Raw genomic sequence first — 23,603 nt, forward strand, 5'->3', positions numbered from 1 at the left:
GGATGGGAGGTCTCACACTGACCTCAAGTTTATGTGACTTTTTCCACCTCTGCTTTCCCAGACAGCCCCTGCTGTGGGACTTGTAAGGAGATTTGTGAAGTCAGTATCTACTTTTCTTGTGTGGGTGTTTGTTTATAAATTATTCCCCTGGAGGGGAATAAATGTTAGAGGTACTCCAAACCCCTAACATATAAACATCTAAGCCTGGCCCTTTTTTGGTGGTAAAATATATATAACATAAAACTTACCATTTTAACCATGTTTAAAGGTACAGTTCCATGGCATCCAATATATTCAGTGTTGTCCAACCATCGAATTTATCCATATCTACAACTTCTTTATCATCCTAAAATGAAACACCAAAACCATGAAGAAGTCACTGAATAGAAGACTGATGTATTTGACTCCATAAAAATTAAAACTTTGTATGAGAGAAAAATGCCTCAAAGTCAAAAGTCAACAGGCTGGGGAAATAGATCTGCAATATACATGACACACAAAAAGCTAATTTGGGATATATATATACACACACACATATATATACATATGGATATATGTAAATATCCATTTTTAACACCATTTAAAAAATACCATCCTTTCCCCATTGAATAGTGTTGACTCCCTTGTTAAAAATCATGACCGTGTTTTTCGGTTCTTTATTTCTATCGCATTGGTCTTTATGTCTGTCTCTATGCTGGTACAACATTGCTTCGGGTACTGAAGCATTACAGTAAGTATGAAACCAGGAGGTGTTTGTCCTCTAACTTTGTTAGTTTTTAAGATTGATTTGGCTACTTAGGATTTTTTTAGATTTCATCTGAATTTTAGAATAGGTTTTTCTATTTTTGAATATATTGGAATTTTTATAGTGATTTTATTGAATCTGTAGATCGCTATAGATAACAATGGCATCTTGACAAGGTTTTGTCTTCCAGTCCATAAACACATGATGTCTTTTCATTTATTTGTGTCATCTTTAATACTTTTCTGCCATGTTTATAGTTTTTGCTGTACAGGTTAAGTGGGTTTCTAAGTATTTTATTCTTTTGATGCTATCATACATGATACTGTTGTCTTGATTTCTTCTTCAGATAGTTTATTGTTATTGTAGAAATACAACTGATTTCTGTGTATTGATTTTGTATCCTGCAACTTTGCTGAATTTTATTTATTGTATCTGACAGTTTATTTCACAGAAACTAAAAGATTTTTAATATATAAGGTTATGTCATCTGCAAACAGATAATTTTACTTTTTAAAAAATTGGAATATCCTTTATTCTTTTACTCACCTTATTGTTTTAACTAACTAGAACCTTCAGTACTACATTAAATAGAAGTAGTAAAAGCAGGCATCCTTGTTTTCGCTCTGAGGGTAAAAGCTTTCAGTCTTTCACCATGTTAGCTGTGTTTTTTGTTGTTGTTGTTTTTTGGGGTTTTTTTTGTATAACATTATGTTAAGGTGTTTTCTTTCTTTTTATAATTTATTAAGTACATTTTATCATGAATGTGGGTTAAATTTTGACAAATGCTTTTTCTTTAAGATGATCACATGAGGTTTTTTCCTTCATTATGTTAATGTGATATTACACTGATTTTCATGTGTTAGAACATACTTTTATTTCAGGAGTCAGTTATACTCATTCATAGTGTATAATCCTTTTAATGTACTGCTAAATTTGAATTGCTGGTATTTTGTTGAGGATTTTTGCATCAACATTTGTAAGGGATGTTTGTTTGTAGTTTTCTTATGGTGCCTTTGTCTGGCTTGGTGTCAGGGTAATACTGGCCTCATATAATAAGTTAGAAAATGTTACCTCCTTTTCAACGTTTTGAAAAAGTTTGAGAAAAACTGGGTTAATTCTGCTTTAAACGTTGGGTAGAATTCAACAGTGTAGCCATCTGGTCCAGGCTTTTCTTTGTTGCTGGGTTTTTTATTACTGATGCAATCTTCCTGCTGAATCTCCTTGCTCAATAGGTTTATTCAACTTTTCTGATTCAGTCTTAGTAGGTTTTTTGTTTCTAGGAATTTGTTCATTTTATTTAGGTTATTCAATTTTTTTAGTGTATAATTCCTTATGGTACTCTTCTACATCCTTTTTTTACTCCAAAAGTTTGTTAGTTATGTACCCATTTTATTTTTGAGTTTGGTAATTTGAGTATTCCCTTTTTTTCTTAGTCAATCTAGATAAAATTTTGTCAGTTTTTATCTTTTTCAGAGAACAAACTGGGTTTTGTTGGTTTTTGATATCTTTTTCTATTCTCTATTTCACTTATTTCCACTGCTATCTTTATCATTTTTAAAATTTTGCTAGCTTTTAGTTGTCCCTCTTTAATAGTCCCTCTTTTTCCCTCTGTTTTTCTTTCCTTAGGAGTAAAGTTGTTGATTCGGTATCTTATTTTTTATAATCATTTATAGCTATAAATTTTTCCCGTGTGGTACTGTTTTTGATGTATCTCTTAACTTTTGGTATTTCATATTTTTAATTTGTCTCTAGATATTTTCTATTTTCTCTTGTGATTTCTTCTTTTATCCATTCTTGGGTGTTTAATAACTATATTTTTAGACATAAAATGTGTAACCTACAAAATTTTCTTGATTTGTTACAGTTTTATTTGTTGTAAGTTTTTATTTCAGAATTAAATATGTGTATCAACATTTGTTGTGTTCTCATAAACTTTGTAATACATGGAGATTTCTGGTCCACATATGTAAGTCTCTACATTAATATTATTTTGAAGCATTTAAACTTCTGTTTTAATATTTCAAAGGTCTAAATGAAATTGAGATTTTTGGTTTCTGAGATGAAATCATGGTAGGTGACTGAGAAATGCTTAAAAATTAGCCAAAACTTAAAATTAAGTTAAAGTTTACTAAGTCACCCTGTATTGCTGGTAATAAAAAATAAGTCTTTAATGGTATAAAAGCAAACTTCAGAGAATGTTTTCTTTTCCCCAGTTGACATCTAAATTAAAAGCTGGAAAAAAATTTTATGGCTTTATGCGTTTTTCACTTTACAATTTCAACTTTTTCTGGTTAAAATTTTTCCAAACAGATTCCTGTGTATTTGAAAGACAAATTTTTTTTAGTTGAAATGCTTAAGCAGTTAAATAAGGCCATGAAACTTTCTTGAACCTGTGGGAATCCATGAGAAAATCTGACATTATGTTCTATTCTCTTGGAAGGTAGAAATATCGTTTGACTTCTGTTTTGCTGACAAGAAATATGGTCCTGAGCAAGGCTCCCTGGGACAATGACCTCACACATGGAAAACGCTGGAGCCCATCTGTCTCCAATCTGCTGTTTTCCAAAAATTAGGGAACTTCAGTTTTCCCTTTGATACTCTGTATTTCTACCAACCACAACGCCAGGGCTGTCCTGCTTCTACAAGTGACAATGACAAATATAGGCCTGAAGGAAGATGAGCTGATGGCATTCCCAGCTTACTACCACTCCTTGGGTGCCTTATCTCACATACGTGGATTCAACTCATAGACTCAGGTGGGTGAGGATCTATTGTTCAGCTACATTAGAAGTGACTGCTTAAGACTCTGGTGTGTGGTGAAATGAGGCAGAATTTTCTCAATGCAGTGTTAGGAGAATTTTCTCCTCATAATTACCATCTTACTATCACTAAATCATAGCTAAAATAAGGAAATTATTCAAGAAGAAATAGAGATGTAATCTTATGAAGACATAAATTTAGAGATTTGTGGAGAGCCCTTCATAATTTCATGGTGTTCTCTTTGAGCTGGGATTATAGTTGACATTTCATTATAATATATTAGCTATTCTAGACTTTATGCATTTATGTAAAGTTTTCTTTGTTGCACTTTAAGTTCTGTGATACATGGGCAGAGCATGCAGGTTTGTTACGTAAGTATACACGTGTCATGGTGGTTTGCTGCACCCATCAACCCATCATCTACATTAAGTATTTCTCCTAACACTATTTCTCCCCCAGCCTCTCACCCCATGACAGGCCCCAGTGTGTGATGTTCCTCTCCCTGTGTCCATGTGTTCTCATTGTTCAACTCCCACTTATGAGTGAGAACATGCAGTGTTTGGTTTTCTTTTCTTTTTTTCTTTCTCTCTTTTCTTTTTTTTTTTTTGAGACAAACTTTCACTCTTGTTGTCCAGGTTGGAGTGCAATGGCGCGATCTCGGCTCACTGCAACCTCTGCCTCCCGGGTTCAAGCGATTCTCCTGCCTCAGCCTCCCAAGTAGCTAGGATTACAGGCATGTGCCAACATGCCTGGCTAATTGTTTGTATTTTTAGTAGAGACGGGGTTTCTCCATGTTGGTCAGGCTGGTCTCAACTCCCCACCTCAGCCTCCCGAAGATCTGAGACTACAGGTGTGAGCCAATGCTCCTGGCCTGGTTTTCTTTTCTTGTGTTAGTTTGCTGAGAATGATGGTTTCCAGCTTCATCTACGTCCCTGGAAAGGACATAAATGCGTAGTATTCCATGGTGTATATGTGCCACCTTTTCTTTATCCAGTTTATCATTAATGGGCATTTGGGTTGGTTCCAGGTCTTTGCTATTGTGAACAGTGCTGAAATAAACATACAGTGCATGTGTCTTTATAGTATAATAATTTATAATGCTTTGGGTATATACCCCGTAATGGGATTGCTAGGTCAAATTGTATTTCTGGTTCTAGATCCTTGAGGAATTGTCACACTGTCTTCCATAATGACTGAACTAATTTACACTCCTACCAACAGTATGAAAGCATTCCTATTTCTCCACAGCCTCATCAGCATCTGTTGTTTCCTGACTTTTAATAATAGCCATTCTAACTGGCTTGAGATGGTATCTCATTGTGGTTTTGATTTGCATTTATCTAATGACCAGTGACGATGAGCTTTTTTTCATGTTTGTTGGCCACATAAATGTCTTCTTTTGAGAAGTGTCTGTTTGTTTCCTTTGCCCACTTTTTGATGGGGTTGTTTTTTCTTGTAAATTTGTTTAAGTTATTTGTAGATTCTGGATATTAGCCCTTTGTCAGACAGATAGATTGCAAAAATTTTCTCCCAATCTATAGGTTGTCTGTTCACTCTGATGATAGTTTATTTTGCTGTGCAGAAGCTCTTTAGTTTAATTAGATCCCATTCGTCAATTTTGGCTTCTTTTGTTGCCATTGCTTTTGGTGTTTTAGTCATAAAGTCTTTGCCCATGCCTATGTCCTGAATGGTATTGCCTAGGTTTTCTTCTAGGGTTTTTATGGTTTTAGGTCTTATGTTTAAGTCTTTATTCCATCTTCAGTTATTTTTTTGTATAAGGTGTAAGGAAGATGTCCAGTTTCAATTTCTGCATATGGCTAGCCAGTTTTCCCAACATGATTTATTAAATAAGGAATCCTTTCCCCGTTGCTTGTGTTTGTCAGGTTTGTCAAAGATCAGATGGTTGTATGTGTATGCTCTTATTTCAGAGTTCTATATTCTGGTTCATTGGTCTATGTGTCTGTTTTTGTACCAGTACCATGCTGTTTTGGTTACTGTAGCCTTATAGTATATTTTGAAGTTGGGTAGTGTGATGCCTCCAGCTTTGTTATTTTTGCTTAGAATTGTCTTGGCTATTTGGGCTCTTTTTTGGTTCATGAGAATTTTTAAATAGTTTCTTCTAATTCTGTGAAGAATGTCATTGGTAGTTTAATGGGAATACCATTAAATTCTTTTATAAATTACTTTGGGGAGTATGGCTATTTTCACGAATTAATTCTTCCGTATCCATGAGCATGGAATGCTTCTCCATTTGTTTGTGTCCTGTCTGATTTCTCTGAGCAGTGGTTTGTAGTCCTCCTTGAAGAGGTTCTTCACTTCTCTTGTTAGCTGTATTCTGATGTATTTTATTCTCTTTGTAGCAATTGTGAATGAATTTCATTCATGATTTGGCTCTCTACTTGCCTGTTGTTGATGTATAGAAATACTAGCAATTTTTGCACATTGGTTTTGTATACTGAGATTCTGTTGATGTGGTTTATCAGCTTAAGAAGCTTTTGGGCTGAGATGATGGGGTTTTCTAGATACAGGATCATGTCGTCTGCAAACAAAGATAATTTGACTTCCTCTCTTCCTATTTAAATACCTTTATTTCTTTCTCCTGCCTGATTGCCCTGGCCAGAAATTCCAGCACTATATTGAATAGGAGTGGTAAGAGAGGCCATCCTTGTCTTGTGCCAGTTTTCAAGGGGAATGCTTCCAGCTTTTGCTCATTCAGTATGATATTGGCTGTGGGTTTGTCATTTATGGCTCTTATTATTTTGAGGTGTGATCCTTCAATAGCTATTTTATTGAGGGTTTTTAACATGAAGGGATGTTGAATTTCATTGAAGGCCTTTTCTGCATCTATTGAGATAGTCGTGTTGTTTTATGTTTAGTTCTGTTTATGTGATGAATTACATTTATAGATTTGCCTGTGTTGAACCAACCTTGTATCCCAGGGATGAAGCCATCTTGATCGTGGTGGGCCAAGCTATCCTTAACAGTCTTAAGTTCAGTCTTTTTACATAATCCCACATTTCTTGAAGGTTTTGTTGTTCATTCTTTTTTGTTCTTTTTTCTCTATTCTTTTCTTCCTGTCTTGTATCAGATAGTTTTCAAGCTCTGAGATTCTTTCCTCCACTTGGCCTATTCTGCTAGTGATACTTATGGTTGCATTGTGAAGTTCTCATGTTGTGTTTCTCACCTCCATCAGGTCAGTTATGTTCCTCTCTAAACTGAATATTCTGCTTATCAGCTACTGTGTTCTTTTATGATTTTTAGCTTCTTGCATTAAGTTAGAACGTGCCCCTTTAGCTCAGTGAAGTTTGATATTACCCACCTCCTAAAGCCTACTTTTGTCAATTCAGCCATCTCAGCCTTGGGTCAGTTCTGTGCCCTTGCTGGGGAGGTGGTGTTGTCATTTAGAGGAGAAGAGGCATTCTGCCTTTTTGAGTTTTCAGCGTTTTTGTGTTGATGCTTTCTCATCTTTGTGGGCTTATCTACCTTTGATCTTTGACGTTGCTGACCTTTGAATGGGGTTTTTGTGGGGTCTTTTTTGTTGATATTGTTGTTGTTGCTTTCTGTTTGTTCTTAACAGTCAGACCACTCTTTCCTAGGGCTGCTGTGGTTTTCTGGGGGTCCACTCTGGACCCTAGTCACCTCAGTCTCTCCTGCACCTGGAGGTATCACCGGTGAAGGCTGCAAAACAGCAAAGATGGCAGCCTGATCCTTCCTCTGGGAGTACTATCCAAGTGGGTACCGACTTGACGTCAGCTGGAACGCTCCTGTAGGAGGTGTCTGGAGACCCCTGTTGGGAGGCCTCACCCAGTCAGGGGAAACAAGATCAGGAACTGCTTAAAGAAGCAGTCTGGCTGCCCTTTGGCAGAGCAGGTGTGCTGTGCTGTGCTGATCCCCGGGAGTCTCCAGAGCCAGCAGGCTGGAAAGGCTCAGCCAGCTGAACTGGGGAGATAGCAGCTACCCCTCTCCCTGGGGACTTCATCCCAGGGAGAAATCAGAGTTCTGTCCATAGAACTCTGGCTGGAGTTGCTAAAATTCCAATGGGGAGGCCCTGTCCAGTGAGGAGGGATGTGTTTTGGTCTCACTTAAAGAAGCAGCCTGGCCACAATCAGGCACAGCAGCTGTGCTGTGTTATGGGAAACTCCTCCTGGACCCTGGTGCCAGCAGGCTAGAGTGGCCAACTCAAACCACAGATATAGTGGCTGCCCTTCCCTCCAGGAACTCGGTCCATCTCTGGCTGTCTCCAGCCTGCTGCCTCTGGCCAGCTGGAATTCCAAGCCAATGGGTTTTGTGAGGTGCTGTGGGAGTGGGGCCTCAGAATGATGTCACTTGGCTCCCTGGATTCAGCCCCCTTCCTAGGGGAATGCACAGATGTATCTCCCACTTTGCTGGAATTCTCGGGGCATAGGATGCAAAACTCCTGGGTTTCCACGCATGCCCCAGTGAGCCAGCGAGCATTCCGCCGAGACTCCACACAGCTCTGTGCTTCAGACCCAAGGCCATGGTGGCTGAGCTCACCGGGGGACCTCCCAATCTGCAGGTTGCAAAGATCCGTGGGGAAAGCATGGTTTCCCAGGCAGTCACGCAATCACTCACCGCCTCCCTTGGCTGCGAGTGGGGGCTCCCTAGCTCCGTGCCACACCTGGATGGGCCATCACCCCACTTGCTTTTCCTCACTCCCTGTGGGCCTAGTGGGCCTAGTCAGTCCCAATGCAAGAACCTGGATACCTCAACTCAAGGTGCAGAAGTCACTTGTAGTTTTCATTGCTCTCCATGAGAGCCATGGGCCACAGCTGCTTCTAATCGGCCAGCTTGGCCCCATCTAAAGTATGATTTCTTAATACATGAGATGTTTTAAGTACATGACAATAATGATATTTATCACAAATAATATTTTATCTCAATTTCATATAAAAATTGCTAACAAATCAATTATTTTTGGTTACCACAAAGCTATCTGGAAATGTAACATCTGCCATTTATAAAATTTCTGTAGAGTTAATAGAACTTTTCCTGAAGGGAGGCCGGCAATATGCATCATGAATTCAAGCACTACCAGTGAAGTTGTGGAGTTTGAAGTGGTACTCACATCTTGTTACTGGGATTATAAATTCGTACAAACTTTATCTAATGTGATTAAACAATATATACCAAAATTATCAGTGGAAATACTCTCTGATTCAGCAATTTCATTTCCAGAAATTTACCCTACAGACATACTCATGATGCCTGGAATTATGTATGAATGGGAGAAAGTATTATACCACCTTTTTCATTAACAAAAGTCTGGAAATCACCTTAATGTTTATCAGTCACATTAATGGTTATCACCTTACTGTGTATTGAAATTATGGTTATTCATACGATAGCATACTATGCAGCTATTTAAAAAAATAAATTTTAAAAGGATGCTCAAAAATGATGTCCAATATATGTTACAAAGTAAAAACAACCCTGGGTGCAGAGCCATGTGTCTGATATGCCTCCATTCCTATAAAATCAGAGTGTGTAGAAATGCATAGAATATCTCTATTAACTGGTAACTGTTACAAAATTCAAAGTTAATGCAGGCAAGACCTTTCTTTTTTAATGCTAACACTCCAAGGAACTGCACAACATTTGAGGATTCCCAACACATGCCAATCTACCTTTGAACCTATAGATTTTAGGAAATGAGGCTCTTGAAAAATCAAGCATTAATATTCCTAGCTACAGTTGTTTGGGACATAATTAGAATGATCCATTCTTTGAAAGTTTGTAAAATTTGCTCATACAACCATCTGGGCCTAGTCCTTCCTTTGTGAAAGATTTTATTTTACTAGAGATTTTATTTTCTTCACATTATAGTACTTCTTAGGTTTTCTATTTCTTCTTGATTCTTGAGTCAATTTTGGTACCACTTTGTACCCCACAGGGTGCTTGGGCTCAGAACACATCAGTCAAAGAAAGAGAGAAGAAAGGAAGGCAGGAAGGCAGGGTGAAAGGAAGGAAGGAAGGAAGAAGGAAGGAGACAAGGAAAGAGAGAGAAGGAAGGATGGAGGGAGAGAAAGATGGAAAGAGAGAAAGAAGGAAATGAGAGAGAGAGAAGGAGAGAAGGAAGGAAGGAGGGAGAGAAAGGGAAAGAAGGAAAGAAACAAGGAAGCAGGGAGGGAGAGAAAGAGGAAGGGAGAGGAAGGAAGGAGGGAGAGAAAGAGGGAAAGGGAAAGAAGGAAGGAAAGAAACAAGGAAGCAGGGAGGGAGAGAAAGAGGAAGGGAGAGGAAGGAGGGAGGGAGGGAAAGGAGACAGGGAGGGAGAGAGGGAGGGAGGGAGGAAAAGAAAGAGAGAAAGGTGAAAGGTGGGGACGGGAAGGGAAGAGGAGCCAGCCAAAGGCTACAGGCTGTTTGTTCACTCTTCTACTTGACCCAAGCAGTTCTGCCTTTTAAATATTCCACCTTCTGCCATGAGTTACACTGTTCAATATTCATTTCTCAGAGCATTCAAAGGTCTATGTGTGCCCTGCCATGATGGACCATGGCTTCAGCTCTCAAACACAACCCTCAGCCAAAATATTCATGACTGTTCCCTCCCATATACTCATCAATCCCCCATGCTATGGTCTGCATGTGTCCCCCAGAGCTCACGTGTTGAAAACTTAATCCTCTATATGACAGTGTTGAGAGGCGGGGCCTAATAAGAGTGATTAGGTTATAAGATTCTGCCCCCATGTATGGATTAATGTCATTATCTCAGGAGTGGGTTAGTTATCTTGGGAGTGGGCTTGTATTAAAAGCATGTTCAGCCCCTTTTGCTCTCTTTCTTTCCCAAACTCTTGCTCTTCTGCCTTCAGCCATGAGATGACACAGCCAGAAGGCCCTCACGAGATGCAGACCCCTCATCCTTGGATTTCCTAGCCTCCAGAACTCTAAGAAATAAATTTCTTTTCTTTATAGATTCCCTAGTCTGTGGTATTCTGTTATAGCAGCACAAAATGGGTTAAGATGCCCCATTACATGGAGAGTGCTGATCCACAGGGTTCAGATCATTGACTTAGGGCTTGGAGTCTTATACAACATCCCTATGGGAGTTGACCTCCATATTCCCTATCTTCCCGGAATCGCAAATGGTGATTTCAGACCAAAATATAGCCCAGATATTTTGCATTTGGCAATATTGCCGACTTTTCCACAACTTTATCATGGCAGGTTTGATGTGCTCACTTCTATGATCCCTGAAAGGATATGGGTTCAAGATCCTGCAAGGTTACAATCCAAGGATAGAAGAGCCTAGACAAGAGTCCCATCACCTGGGCGATCAGTGCAGAGATATGTCACAAAGCCCCTGTAGGCAGAGCCTAGACAAGAGTTACATCACCTGGGTGACAGGCAAACAACAATGACAACTTATTTTCATCCCCACTTCAGTCTTTGAGGTTAGACAGACCTGGATTCAAATCCAAGCTCCACCCCTCGCTGTGTGAGTTTGCTCATGCTGCTAACCTCTCTGAGACTTGACTCTTCATTTATGAAATGAGGATAAAGCCCCTTCTCTCAGGGGCTGTGCCAAGGATGAAATGAGTCACGCATTGGTCAGGACAGGTGATGCTGTGTAACAAGCCCCTAAACCTCAGTGGCGTCAACAGCAAAGTTGACTTCTTTTCTTTTTTCTATTTTTTCTTTTGTTGGGGGGGTGGGGAGGTGGATGGAGTCTCACTCTGTCACCCGGGCTGGAGTGCAGTGGTGCAATCTCAGCTCACTGCAACCTCCACCTCCTGGGTTCAAGTGATTCTCCTGCCTCAGCCTCCTGAGTAGCTGGGGCTACAGATGTCAGCCACCAGGCCCAGCTAATTTTTTGTATTTTTAGTAGAGATGGGGTTTCACCATGTTAGTCAGGATGGTCTCGATCTCCTGACCTCATGATCTGCCTGCCTCAGCCTCCCAAAGTGTTGGGATTACAGGCGTGAGCCACTGCACCCGGCCTTGACTTCTCAATTGATTTCACATCCATCACGGGTCAACAAGGGGGTTCTGGTGGTCGTAGTCAATGAGCCGAGACCATGCCACTGCACTCCAGCCTGAGTGACAGAGTGAGACTTCATCTCAAAAAAAAAAAGTCTCAGGCTATGTCTGAACTAGGAGGGTAGAAAGAATAGTCATTTTGGTTGCCACAAACCATCGAAACAAAGATGCAGATCATTGATGTAAAATTACAGTTAGTTCCTTCCCACTCCTTTTCAGCTTCTCTTCGTTGCTATGACCCAGCGTCTCCTGTGTCAGTTTTCAGTCTATTGTCTCCCAGCTTCTAGTGCACCTTTCAATATGTGCACTGTGATAAACTGGGAAGCACTTTTCAATATACCTTCTGGAAGTGAACATTCTGCAGGCATCTAGATAGAGGATGGAGAGACTGCAGGGGGCAGGAGCTCTCTGGCTGGGCCTTGTTCAAGCCCCAACCACAGAGACCTAGGCATGGTCCCTCAGCCACCTTGCAGCCTTGGCTAGCAACATCTCGACACGGAAACCAAAACGCAGCAGAGCCCATGTGATCTGAAGGTTCCTGAAAAGTTGCCCAGACCTCCTCTTGTACCCACATACAAAGAGTGTGTCCAGGGTCATGAGTGAGCATGATATTACAGAGGAATGTAAACAGGAAAACCATAGCATAGAGCAGTGGGGATCCATAGCTCACAGTGATAGCATGGAAGTTTCCTGGTTACATGAAGTAATTAAGACGTATTTAAAAGCCAAGAGTACAAAATTAGACCTGATGAAAAAGCAGGAGTTATCATCCCAGCCATGCAGAAAAGCCAAGCCTTCTCTCCCTTCTCAAGAAGGAACAGAAGACAATGATGTGATCTGTGAGTCATGTGTAACATGAAAGTACAGGAAAAGTTGAATTTCTGATACACAAATCTGAAAAGTTTTTATAGTAACAGATTTCAGGATTAAAAGTCAATATTTATTACTTCATTAAGAGCAAATAAATACTTTAAGAAAACCTTGTTGTTTTAACCAAAATTTTTAGTTTTGTATCACTATGTTTTTAATATTATACCTAATTTAAATAAACTTTATAAACAATCTATCTGATCTCAATCAGTTTTGACCTCGAGGTAAGATTTACGTAAACTTTTAATAACCTTGTATAATTTTTTCCATCTTTTCCAACTTTTTATACACATTTTATCTATCTTTTTTATTCCTTCAATTTAAAATAATCCTTAAAAATCTCTAAGCGAATTTACTTTCTCTGAAACAAAAACCGGTATACATTTTGCATACAGAATTGTTTCTCTTGTACCTAGTAGTCTTAATCACATATATCTACCACAATATTAATACTTAGTAACCTTTATTTTAATAAAAAACCTAGGAAGCAAGAAATCTTGAATTGTCATATAGCAGTATCTTACAGATGAGAATAATTTCATAATTTAGAAATATGTGTTCCTAAAACATTTTTTTTTAAGATGGAGTTTCGCTCTTGTTGCCCAGGCTGGAGTGCAATGGAACAATCTCGGCTCACTGCAACTTCCGCCCCCCGGGTTCAAGTAATTCTCCTGCCTCAGCCTCCCGAGCAGCTGGGATTACAGGCACCCGCCACCATACCTGGCTAATTTTTTGTATTTTTTAGTAGAGATGGGGTTTCTCCATGTTGGTCAGGCTGGTCTTGAGCTCCTGACCTTGGGTGATCCACCTGCCTCAGCCTCCCAAAGTGCTGGGATTACAGGCATGAGGCACCACGCCTGGGCTAAAACATAAGTTTTTAAATTGGAAATAACCCAGATAGTTAATGAGTATCTATTATTTAATTTAACATAACTAAAATTTCAAAAATAGGCTGGGCATGGTGGCTCACACCTGTAATCCCAACACTTTAGGAGGCCAAGGCAGGAGTATCATGAGACCAGCCTGAGCAAAATAGTGAGATGCTAACTCTACAAAAAAAATAAAAATTAGCTGAGCATGGTGGTGCATGCCTGTAATTACAGCTACTTGGGAGGCTGAGGTGGGAGGATCCCTTGAGGGCAGGAGGTCAAGGTTGCAGTGAGCTGTGATCATACCACTGTACTTCAGCCTGGGTGACAGACAGAGACACTATCTCAAAAAAATTTCAAAAATACATTAAGATGTCTTGGATAGACATGTATCCATTTACATTTACTTATTTTTAACAGTTTATCTAGAGTATTTGTGAGAACTGAGGTATTAGACAAAGCTAGTCATCATTTCTAGGTTATTTTCTTGTTAACCATGTTATAGCCTGTGAATATCAGGTGTTCACGTAAGTGAGGACTTCAAAGTTAAATACATGGGTATTTTACCAATAACTCAGAAAATTCCATTACTTTTGTTCAACAAACCGTATTAAATTGGTCTTATGTATTAAAAAAAATCACAAAAACAAATATTCCTTTTTTTCCTGTGTTTATAGCTTTATAACCTTCATGCCAAACCCTAGCACCTTAAAATATCTAGCAAATGTAAATATAAAACACAGTCAAAAATGTATGCTGACAATTCTGAAGACATTTCTATTTTCCTTTTATCCATACTTTTTAAATTATTTGTATTTATAAAAGAACTCTTTTGTCTGGGCACAGTGGTTCATGCCTATATCCCAGCACTTTGAGAGGCTGAGGCAAGAGGATCACTTGAGCTCAGGAGTTTGAGACCAGCCTGGGCAACATAGCGAGACCGAATCTCTACTAAGAATAAGATAAAAAATTGCCAGGCATGGTGGTGCATGCCTATTGTCCCAGCTACTGGAGAGGATGAGGCAGGAGGATCACCTGAGCCTGGGAGGTTGAGGTAACAGTGAGCTCTGGTCCCACTACTGCACTCCAGCCTGGGGAACAGAGTGAGACCTTAGAGAGAGACCTTGTCTCAAAAAGAGAAAAAAATAAAGAATTATTTCATTCTTTTGTTTTTCTTCAGCCAAGTAACCTTGAATTGGTAATACCACAGACAGTAAGTTTCATCTCAACACCAGTAGACAAGTCAGCAGATTCAAAATAGGCAGGGAAAAAAAAATAGACAGGCAAAAGAACTGAGATTTTTTCATTTTAGGGTTTTTAAAAATATAAACTATTTGAGTTCTGAATTTTCTTTCATGTTATTCGGCCATCAGGTTTAAAGTGTGCACTAGAAGCCAGGCGTGGTGGCTCCTGCCTGTAATCCCAACACTTTGGGAGGCTGAGGCAGGTGGATCACTTGAGGCCAGGAGTTCGAGACCAGCCTGGCCAACATGACAAAAACCCGTCTCTACTGAAAATACAAAAATTAACTGGGTGTGGTGGTGTGCACCTGTAGTCCCAGCTACTCGGGAGGCTGAGGCAGGAGAATTGCTCAAACCTGGGAGGTGGAGGTTGCAGTGAGCCAAGATTGTACCACTGTACTCCAGCCTGGGAAACAGAGCAAGACTCTGTGTCAAAAAGAAAAAAAAAAAAAAAAAAAATATATATATATATATATATATATATATATATATATATAGGCCTGTGCGCAGTGGCTCATGCCTGTAATCCCAGCAGTTTGGGAGGCCGAGGCGGGTGGATCACTTGAGATCAGGAGTTCGAGACCAGCCTGGCCAACATGGTGAAACCTCGTCTCTACTAAAACCACAAAAATTAGCCGGGCATGGTGGCACACACCTGTAATCGCAGCTACTCAGGAGGCTGAGACAGGAGAATCACTAGAACCTGGGAAGTGGAGGTTGCAGTCAGCCAAGATCACACCACTGCACTCCAGCCTGGGCAACAGAGCAAGACTCTGTCTCAAAAAAATGTGTGTGTGTGTGACTAGAATGGTCTATAATATATAGCCAGCTCGAGTCCCAGAAAACCTAGCAAGCTTAAGGTTAGAGCTTCTCATTTTGGCCTTTTCAAGATTAAATCTCCTTTAGTAGGCCCCTCCCCTCTAGGGAAGTACTTGCCGGAGCGCTGCCTAAAGTTGGTTTTCTGATGCCCTGTTGTTTCTGTTCTGAATGGTTTATTTCTCATTATAAGGGCTCAGCAAAGCAGGCAGAGTTAAAAAGCAGAGACAGGAAGAATTTTTAAAATCGTGGACTTCACTCCTACACTGAATCTCAGGTCCCCAGAAAGACAGAAACACCATGGGACCACAGCAAAGGCAGGAGGAGGAGTGAGGGAGGGAGGTGGACAGAACAACAAACAGGAGTTGGCTCTCAGTTTTTCACGTGTGCCATTTTCTTTAGGTTTTTCTAGTTTATGGAGTCTCTTTGTTCAAGTTGAGCACACAGATAAACTAGAGATCTCACAAGGCTTTTGCTGAGACCATCAAAGCCTTTAACCTCTGTTGGGCCAAATATTTTAGACCAAAAATACAGATAGACACACAAAAGCCAGAACCAGACCAGATTGAGTATCTCAGTGGCTGCAGCCTTTATTCCCTTTATTCTTTAGGATTTGAACTCAAACCAGATTCAGGGTTCTAACCCAACCAGGATCCCCCTGGGGTGAAACTGAAACCCACAGTCTAGACAAGGTTGGGGGTCTTTTTTTATTTTTATTTTTTCATTTTTTTTGAGACGGAGTTTCACTCTTGTTGCCCAGGCTGGAGTGCAATGGTGCAATATCGCCTCACTGCAACCTCCGCCTCTCGGGTTTAAGCACTCATCCTGCCTCAGCCTCCCAAGTAGCTGGGATTACAGGCATGTGCCACCACGCCCATTTAATTTTGTATTTTTAGTAGAGACAGGGTTTCTCCATGTTGGTCAAGCTGGTCTCGAACTCCCAACCTCAGGTGATCCGCCTGCCTAAGCCTCCCAAAGTGTTGGGTTTACAGGCGTGAGCCACCACGCCCGGCCCGCTTGTTCTTTTCATTTCATCCTGATGTCCGAATACAGGAGAGTAGCTGAGTTGGTGTTCACTAACAAGCACGGAAGCTTTGTTACATTTACAGTGTCATTCTTGGCAAAACCTGAAGTTTTGCCTCCCGGGTTCACGCCATTCTCCTGCCTCAGCCTCCCGAGTAGCTGGGACTATAGGCGCCCGCCACCTCACCCAGCTAATTTTTTGTATTTTTAGTAGACACGGTGTTTCACCGTGTTAGCCAGGATGGTCTCGATCTCCTGACCTTGTGATCCGCCCACCTCGGCCTCCCAGAGTGCTGGGATTACAGGCGTGAGCCACGCGCCCAGCCAGAAGCTCTGTAATTTCAATGATGATTGTGCTTTTAATCTCTTTCTCGGCATCTGGCTCATGATAAAGTTTCAGGTGTCTTGATGGTATCTAAATCAGTTGTTGATTCGGTCCTGGAGAAACACAAGCATAACCTCTACGCCAAGTTATTATTTTACCTATTTCCCAACTTTTTGTTATTGGATCTGTCCACCAAACCAGTTGTTCTGCTTGTGTCTTTGCAGCTGGTTTCTGTAGATGCTGTTCAGCTGCTGGTAACATCTGGCCTTTGGGAAGGCTCGAAAAATGGAAAGTTAATAATGCAAGATTCAATTGTGTCTGGGCTGTCCCGTAATCCCTGTTTCCCCCCTTTTTTGTTTTTATTATCAGTTGTTCATCTGTATGAAATCGTAACTGAGCATTTTCAATTAACTGTGTGGAATGAACCATGTATGAAGAATCAGAAATCACATTAATAGGCATATCAAAAGCAGTCAATACCTCAATTACAGCTACAAGCTCCACTTTTTGAGCTGAAATATAGGGCGTCTGGAAAACTTTACCTTTTGATCCAGAATAAGAAGCTTTACCATTACTGGACCCATCTGTGAAACAATGAAAACGCTTAGCAGGCTGCAGGTTGTTTACTGCAGGAATTGTAAATGCAAATCGTTCACAGTCTTGCTCAGCTAAAAGGGTAGTAAAGAAACAGTCTTTTAAATCTGTGACTATTAAAGGCCAATTTTTTGGAATTATAGTAGGAGAAGGCAATCCTGGCTGTTATATTTCCATAGGTTGTATAACTGAATTGATGGCTCTTAAGTCAGTTAACATTCTCCATTTACCTGATTTTTTCTTAATTATGAAAACTGGAGAATTCCAAGGGGAAAATGTTGGAGCTATGTGCCCATTTTCTAATTGTTCAGTAACTAATTTCTCTAAAGCGTCCAGTTTCTCTTTGCTTAGCAGCCATTATTCTATCCATATTGGCTTATCTGTTAACCATTTGTAAAGGTATAGGTTCTGGAAGCTTAACAACGGCCGCCGTCAAAAATGATATCCTAATCTTTGGCAGGAACTTTGTCTTTCCACTTGAAGCAGTTCTTTCAAACCTTGCAAATATTTTCCTAGTCCCATACCAGGAACATGCCCCATTTCATGAATTATATGTCGACTTTGAGGGCTATATAATTGTTCTGGAATTAGAACTTGTGCTCCCCATTGTTGTAATAAATCTCTCCCCCATAAATTTATAGGTACAGAAGTTATAATTGGTTGAATAGTCCCAGGTTGTCCATTGGGCCCTTCACAATGCAAAATATAACTACTTTGATATACTTCAGGGGCTTTACCAACTCCAACTATGTTAAATTGAGTGGGTTGAATTGGCCACGCGGACGGCCACTGCTGTAGAGAAATAATTGAAATGTCTGCTCCTGTATCTACCAAACCTTTAAAGTTCTTTCCCTGAATAGTTATTTCACAGGTAGGACGTTTATCAGTAATTTGATTTACCCAATAAGCCACTTTGTCTTGTTTATTTGTGCTTCCAAATCCTCCTGTTCATTTAATTTCACTTTTCCCCATTCCCACATATGGCACAATCAGGAGCCGATCTCCTGGCTCTGCTTTCCAGGGAACAGAAGTAGATATAACAATTTGAATTTCCCCATTGTGATCTGAATCAGTGACTCCTGTATGTATTTGTACCCCTTTTAAACTTAAACTAGACCTTTCTAAAAGTAATCCTATCGTCCCTGCTGGCAAGGGTCCACAGACTCCTGTTGGGACCTTTTGCAGGGGTTCCCCAGGCAGAGGGCTCACAGCTTTTGTGCAGCATAAATCTACTGCAACACTACCAGCTGTGGCAGGGGACAGACATTGTACGGTGGGGAGGGAATGGCCTGAGTTGGAAATGCCCCGGTTTAGAACGGGCCTAGGATGGGCCCCTCATGGTGTTTCCCGAAATCGGGTTCCGTTCTTCATCAAACTTAGAGTGACATTGGTTAGCCCAATGATTTCCTTTTTTACATTTTGGACATATTTCAGCTTAGCAGTTCTCTTTTTTCCCCTATCTGACAGCCGACTCACTGATTTTTTTTCTACATTCTTTTTTAGTATGAATAGCTTCTTTAAATTCTTTGAGTAATTTAAAAGGAAAAGGTTCAAATGTAGCTATAATATCTCCCTGTTGATCTGGGGGGTGTATTCTAACAGGGAACTGCCAAGCCTCTAAATCACCCTCTCTTCTAGCTTGCTGAATTCCTGCCTGAATAGAACTAAGAGCAGTCGCTCCAGGCGCTGCTCAGTCACTGGGGCAACTACTTTTCGCCCACAGTCCTCTGGAAAAGAAATACCTGGAGGGTCATTTTCTTCAAAATAATAATGAGGGGGTGCAGAAGGGTAGGGATGAACCTCTCCCTCCTTTGCCGCTTCAGCTTTAGCTGGCAAACAAACCTGGTCTGTAACCTCTTCTGTTACGTCGCTATACTCTCCTTCCTCCTCCTCATCAGTGTGAAAAGGTTCCAAGGTGAAACGAACCAGACCCCACGCCTGTCCCATTGTTACCCTGATGCTTCCGAGCTCCCCTTCTTACTCACCACGGGGATGGCTTTAAGAGTACTCAGGTGTCCTCCAGCTAGTTCCACGTTCTCCAACCGTCGCTCTGGCGACCCTTCGACCTGGATTCGAGCCCCCACGATGGACGCCACTTGCAGAGACCAGCTCGGTCAGGAAGACCCTAACCCAGCGGCACTAGAGGAATTAAAGACACATACACAGAAATACAGAGGTGTGAAGTGGGAAATCAGGGGTCTCACAGCCTTCAGAGCTGACAGCCCCGAACAGAGATTTACCCACATATTTAGTAACAGCAAACCAGTCATTAGCATTGTTTCTATTAACTAAAAGTATCCCTTACGGGAAATGAAGGGATGGGCCGGAATAAAGGGGTGGGTTTGGCTAGTTATCTGCAGCAGGAGCATGCCCTGATGGCACAGATCGCTCATGCTATGTTTGTGGTTTGAGAACGTCTTTCAGCGGTTTTCCACCCTGGGCGGGTCAGGTGTTCCTTGCCCTCATTCCGGTAAACCCACAACCTTCCAGCGTGGGCGTTAGGGCCATTATGAACATGTCACAGTGCTGCAGAGATTTTGTTTATGGCCAGTTTTGTGGCCAGTTTATGGCCAGATTTTGGGGGGCCTGTTCCCAACAGTAACCAATATTAAGTCATTCTCATTTCAACATTTAAACTCTTCCAACTGAATGCATTAAAAAACAAAAGTCACACACCACTGTACCCCTTATATGTACACAGCGGTCGGCAAACATGTGACAGGTGGAGGTCCTGAGGCACCACTGGGAGCTTGTGAGCGGATGGGCGTCTTCCAGAACGCACTCTGCAGGCACTCGGCAACGTGAAGTGTTCACGTCCTGTGATGCAGCCTCTGCTCCAGGCCACTTCCGGAACTGCGAGGGAACAGCTGTGGGCGCGCTCATTTCAGCTTTGCTTCAGATCCTGGGAGTTGGGGGCACCTTCTTTTTTTTTTTTTTTTTTTTTAGACGGAGTCTTGCTCTGTCACCCAGGCTGGAGTGCAGTGGCGCGATCTCGGCTCACTGCAAGCTCCGCCTCCCGGGTTCACGCCATTCTCCTGCCTCAGCCTCCCGAGTAGCTGGGACTACAGGCGCCCGCCACCGTGCCTGGCTAATTTTTTGTATTTTTAGTACAGACGGGGTTTCACCATGTTAGCCAGGATGGTCTCGATCTCCTGACCTCGTGATCCGCCCATCTCGGCCTCCCATAAAGTGCTGGGATTACAGGCATGAGCCACCGCGCCCGGCTGGGGGCACCTTCTGGCCCACAGTGAGGGAATAAGCAAACCAGAATGGGGGGTGCCTGCACGGAATACTCCTAAGTGCTCAGACACGGCGTCCACAGATGGATCCAAATCAGTGCTGGATGACGGGCACTCACCCCAGGTCTGCAGTCCAATAACACGGGCCTGAGCAGAAAGCACGTGGCATGGAGCCCCGTGGCAGATATGGGGACGAGCGGCCAATACATCAGCTCAGGTGTCCGAGGGGTTTCAGGGACATGAGAGAGAGTGGGGAACGAAGGGGGAAATCGCTTGGAGACCCAGGACGAGCCTGGCACACCAGGATGCTGATTCTGAAAGGGCGATTAAGGAGATTCCATGTTTTAAAAATCTGGATTTCTGGCTTCTTCTGAAAAAAATCAGAAGATGTTTAGCACAACAGCGTGGCATCGTCAGCTGTACTCCTGCCCCACTGTCCCCCAGGGAGCCTGGCTCATCCCATGGCTCACAGAGGCCCACACTGTGGCCAGACAGGTCCACTGATGGCTCAGCACGTGCACCCCGGCTGCAGGGAGATGGGTACCAGCCCAGGAAGTGGGACACTGGCTGAAACAGGATGGGATGCAGGGATGGGGTGGGATGGGAGACCAAACCAGTGTGAGGAATGAGGATAAAGGAGATGCTGGAGATAAAATCTGGGCAAGTAAGCAGGGGGTGGTCCTGCTGGCTGAGGCCAGAGATGCCAGCCCACTCAGACTCCTGCGCTGGCCCTTCCACACCATCCCAGGCCCAAGGCCTCCCACACACAGCGTCACATACACAAACAGCACCCTCCTCATGGCAACAGGTGACCCTGCCCCTTCACAGACCTCCCTGCCCCCACAGTCACCCCACATTTTAAAGGGAACTTGAGTCCATCCTGATATGTAAACGTGAGGTTAAATATCTATCATGGGGGAGAACAGACAAATCTCCAGTGCAGAATAGTTCTAAATAACCTAAGTGGAGGCTCCACTCTTGAGGAGATCCAGCCTAACTCCCCACCTCTCCAACGCGGCTCATCGCAGCGACCTCCTTCTTCCAACGTGGCTCATCGCAGTGACCTCCTTCTCAGGAGTGCAGAGTGGAGGTCAGTGGTGGAGTGAAGACGGACCAGGGTTAACATCGGCAGTGATCACTTGACCTCTGCACACTTGACTCTGGGTCTTTCTCCCCAAAAAAAACCAGAACCTCAGTATAATCGTGAGGAAAATAGACAAATCCTAATTGAGGGACATTCTCCAAAATACCTGACTGGCCCTCCTCAAAACTGCCAAGGTCATGGAAAAAGGAAAGTCTGAAAAACTCACAGTTTAGGAACCTAAAGAGACTTGATTACTAAATGGAATATATCCTGGGATCCTGGAAAAGAAAAGGACATTATGTAAAAACTAAGAAAACCTGAATAAAATGTGGCCTTTAGTTAATAAGAATCCATCAATATTGGTGCATTCGTTGTAACAAGTAGTTGTAACAAGTGCCACGCTAATGTAACACGTTAGTACCAGCGTAACTGGGTGCCAGGCGTTTGTAAACTCTGTTCCGTCTTCTCAATTGTTTTGTGAATCTAAAACCGTTCTTTAAAAAGAGTTTATTTAGTAGGCTGGGCATGGTGGCTCACACCTGCAATCCCAGCACTTGGGAAGGCCAAGACTGGTGGATCACTTGAGCTCAGGAGTTGGAGACATGCCTAGGTAACATGGCAAAACCCCATCTCTACTAAAAATACAAAAATTAGCCAGGTGTGGTGGCGCACACCTGTAGTCGCAGCCACTTGGGAGGTTGAGGTGGGAGGATCGCTGGAGCCTCGGAGGTCGAGGTGGTAGTGAGCCAAGATTGCACCACTGCACTCCAGCCCGGGCAACCAGAGTGAAACGCTGTGTCCAAAAAATAAAAAAAGAGTGTATGTAAAGTGAAAACAGAGAGAGTACAAGAAAAGAGGGAAACCAGGGGCTCAGTGGAGGTGGGCAGGGGCTGGTCCATGTGCATTCAGCCCACCTGGTTGGCAGCTGCCCAGGTGTCTCCTCAGGTGTCGGAACAGGAGTTTCTTCCACAGCCTTCAGTTTGCTCAGGTGGGCATGTGGCGATGGCAGACCCTTGGGCTGTGAGAAACTATGTTGCTGTTTTATCCAAGTCTTCACAGACCAAAGACGGGGCTTTGCCCAGAGGAGGCCTTGAGAAGCCAGGCTGGAGTTTGTGGAGAGAGTGTGTGTCACTCACAGGACATATGACGCATTTGCAACATGCGTTCTCAAAGTGGGAGCCACAGCAGTGTTCGTTTTACTATTGCTGGGCCTGTAAATGGAGCGTTTTATCTTTTTCGTCAGCTGGTTCATTGAACAAGTGTTTACAGAGCACCTGCTAGGCAAATCCATCGTGACAGAGACTCGGTGTGCCCCCAAGGAGCTCACAGTCTAGCGGTAAAGATGGTGCATAAACTCCCTGACACTCAGGGTGGCAACAGCCACCCCACCTGCTCCTCCCTTTCCTAATGCCCACACGGAGCAGACACTCGAGGGCTGCTTTTAGGAGTGCTGACTACATGCTTCCCTACCTCCATGTAGGCATGTGTGTACACAAGCGTGTCCTGTTTTCACCTTTTCACAAAACTATGTCAAAAGTGAAACATTTTGGAATACATTTCCAGTTATGCAAAATGTTTAAAATATGAATTTCTTCGGTTAACACAAATTAGGCATGAAATGTAGGCAACCCTGTTTACCAAGAAACATCAGGGTGCGGTGTGGGTCTGGGAGGTGCCCATGAGCACCTCATCTTGAGGCCAGTCTTCATGCTAGACCCTGGGTGGAGAGAGCGAGGCGGCTGGAGGTGGGTGTGTGACACCAGGTGACTTAGCGGCCCCAGGAGGGTGACTTCCCCTCCGGAGGTGCCATGCGACTGTACAGCTCAGGAGCACTCGGGGTCACCTACAGGAGGGGCAACTCCTGGGTGTCTCCCAACAGAGCCCAAAACCTGGAAGTGGACAGAGCACCCCCCGCTCATCTCCTGGGCCCTCGTCTCAGAGGAAGGACGGCCATTCTGGCCAACACTGACCAATGCTCCAGCCCACACTGCCCTGCACTGCCTAGAAGGAGAACCTAGGCTGGGCTCCCAGACAGGAGAGAGGGG

The 23,603-nt window shown here is 42.6% G+C and overlaps 1 annotated feature.

Moving 5' to 3' along the window:
• Positions 19,102-19,262: a silencer, noted in NCBI's record as "fragment chr1:833348-833508 (GRCh37/hg19 assembly coordinates)". NCBI's record gives its function as "represses an EF-1alpha promoter that drives an FKBP-Casp9 reporter gene in an ReSE screen in HepG2 liver carcinoma cells {active_cell/tissue: HepG2}" and the evidence as "EXISTENCE:reporter gene assay evidence [ECO:0000049][PMID:32094911]".

This window comes from Homo sapiens, chromosome 1, assembly GCF_000001405.40.
Source record: "Homo sapiens chromosome 1, GRCh38.p14 Primary Assembly".
In the NCBI taxonomy this organism is placed as follows: Eukaryota; Metazoa; Chordata; class Mammalia; order Primates; family Hominidae; genus Homo; species Homo sapiens.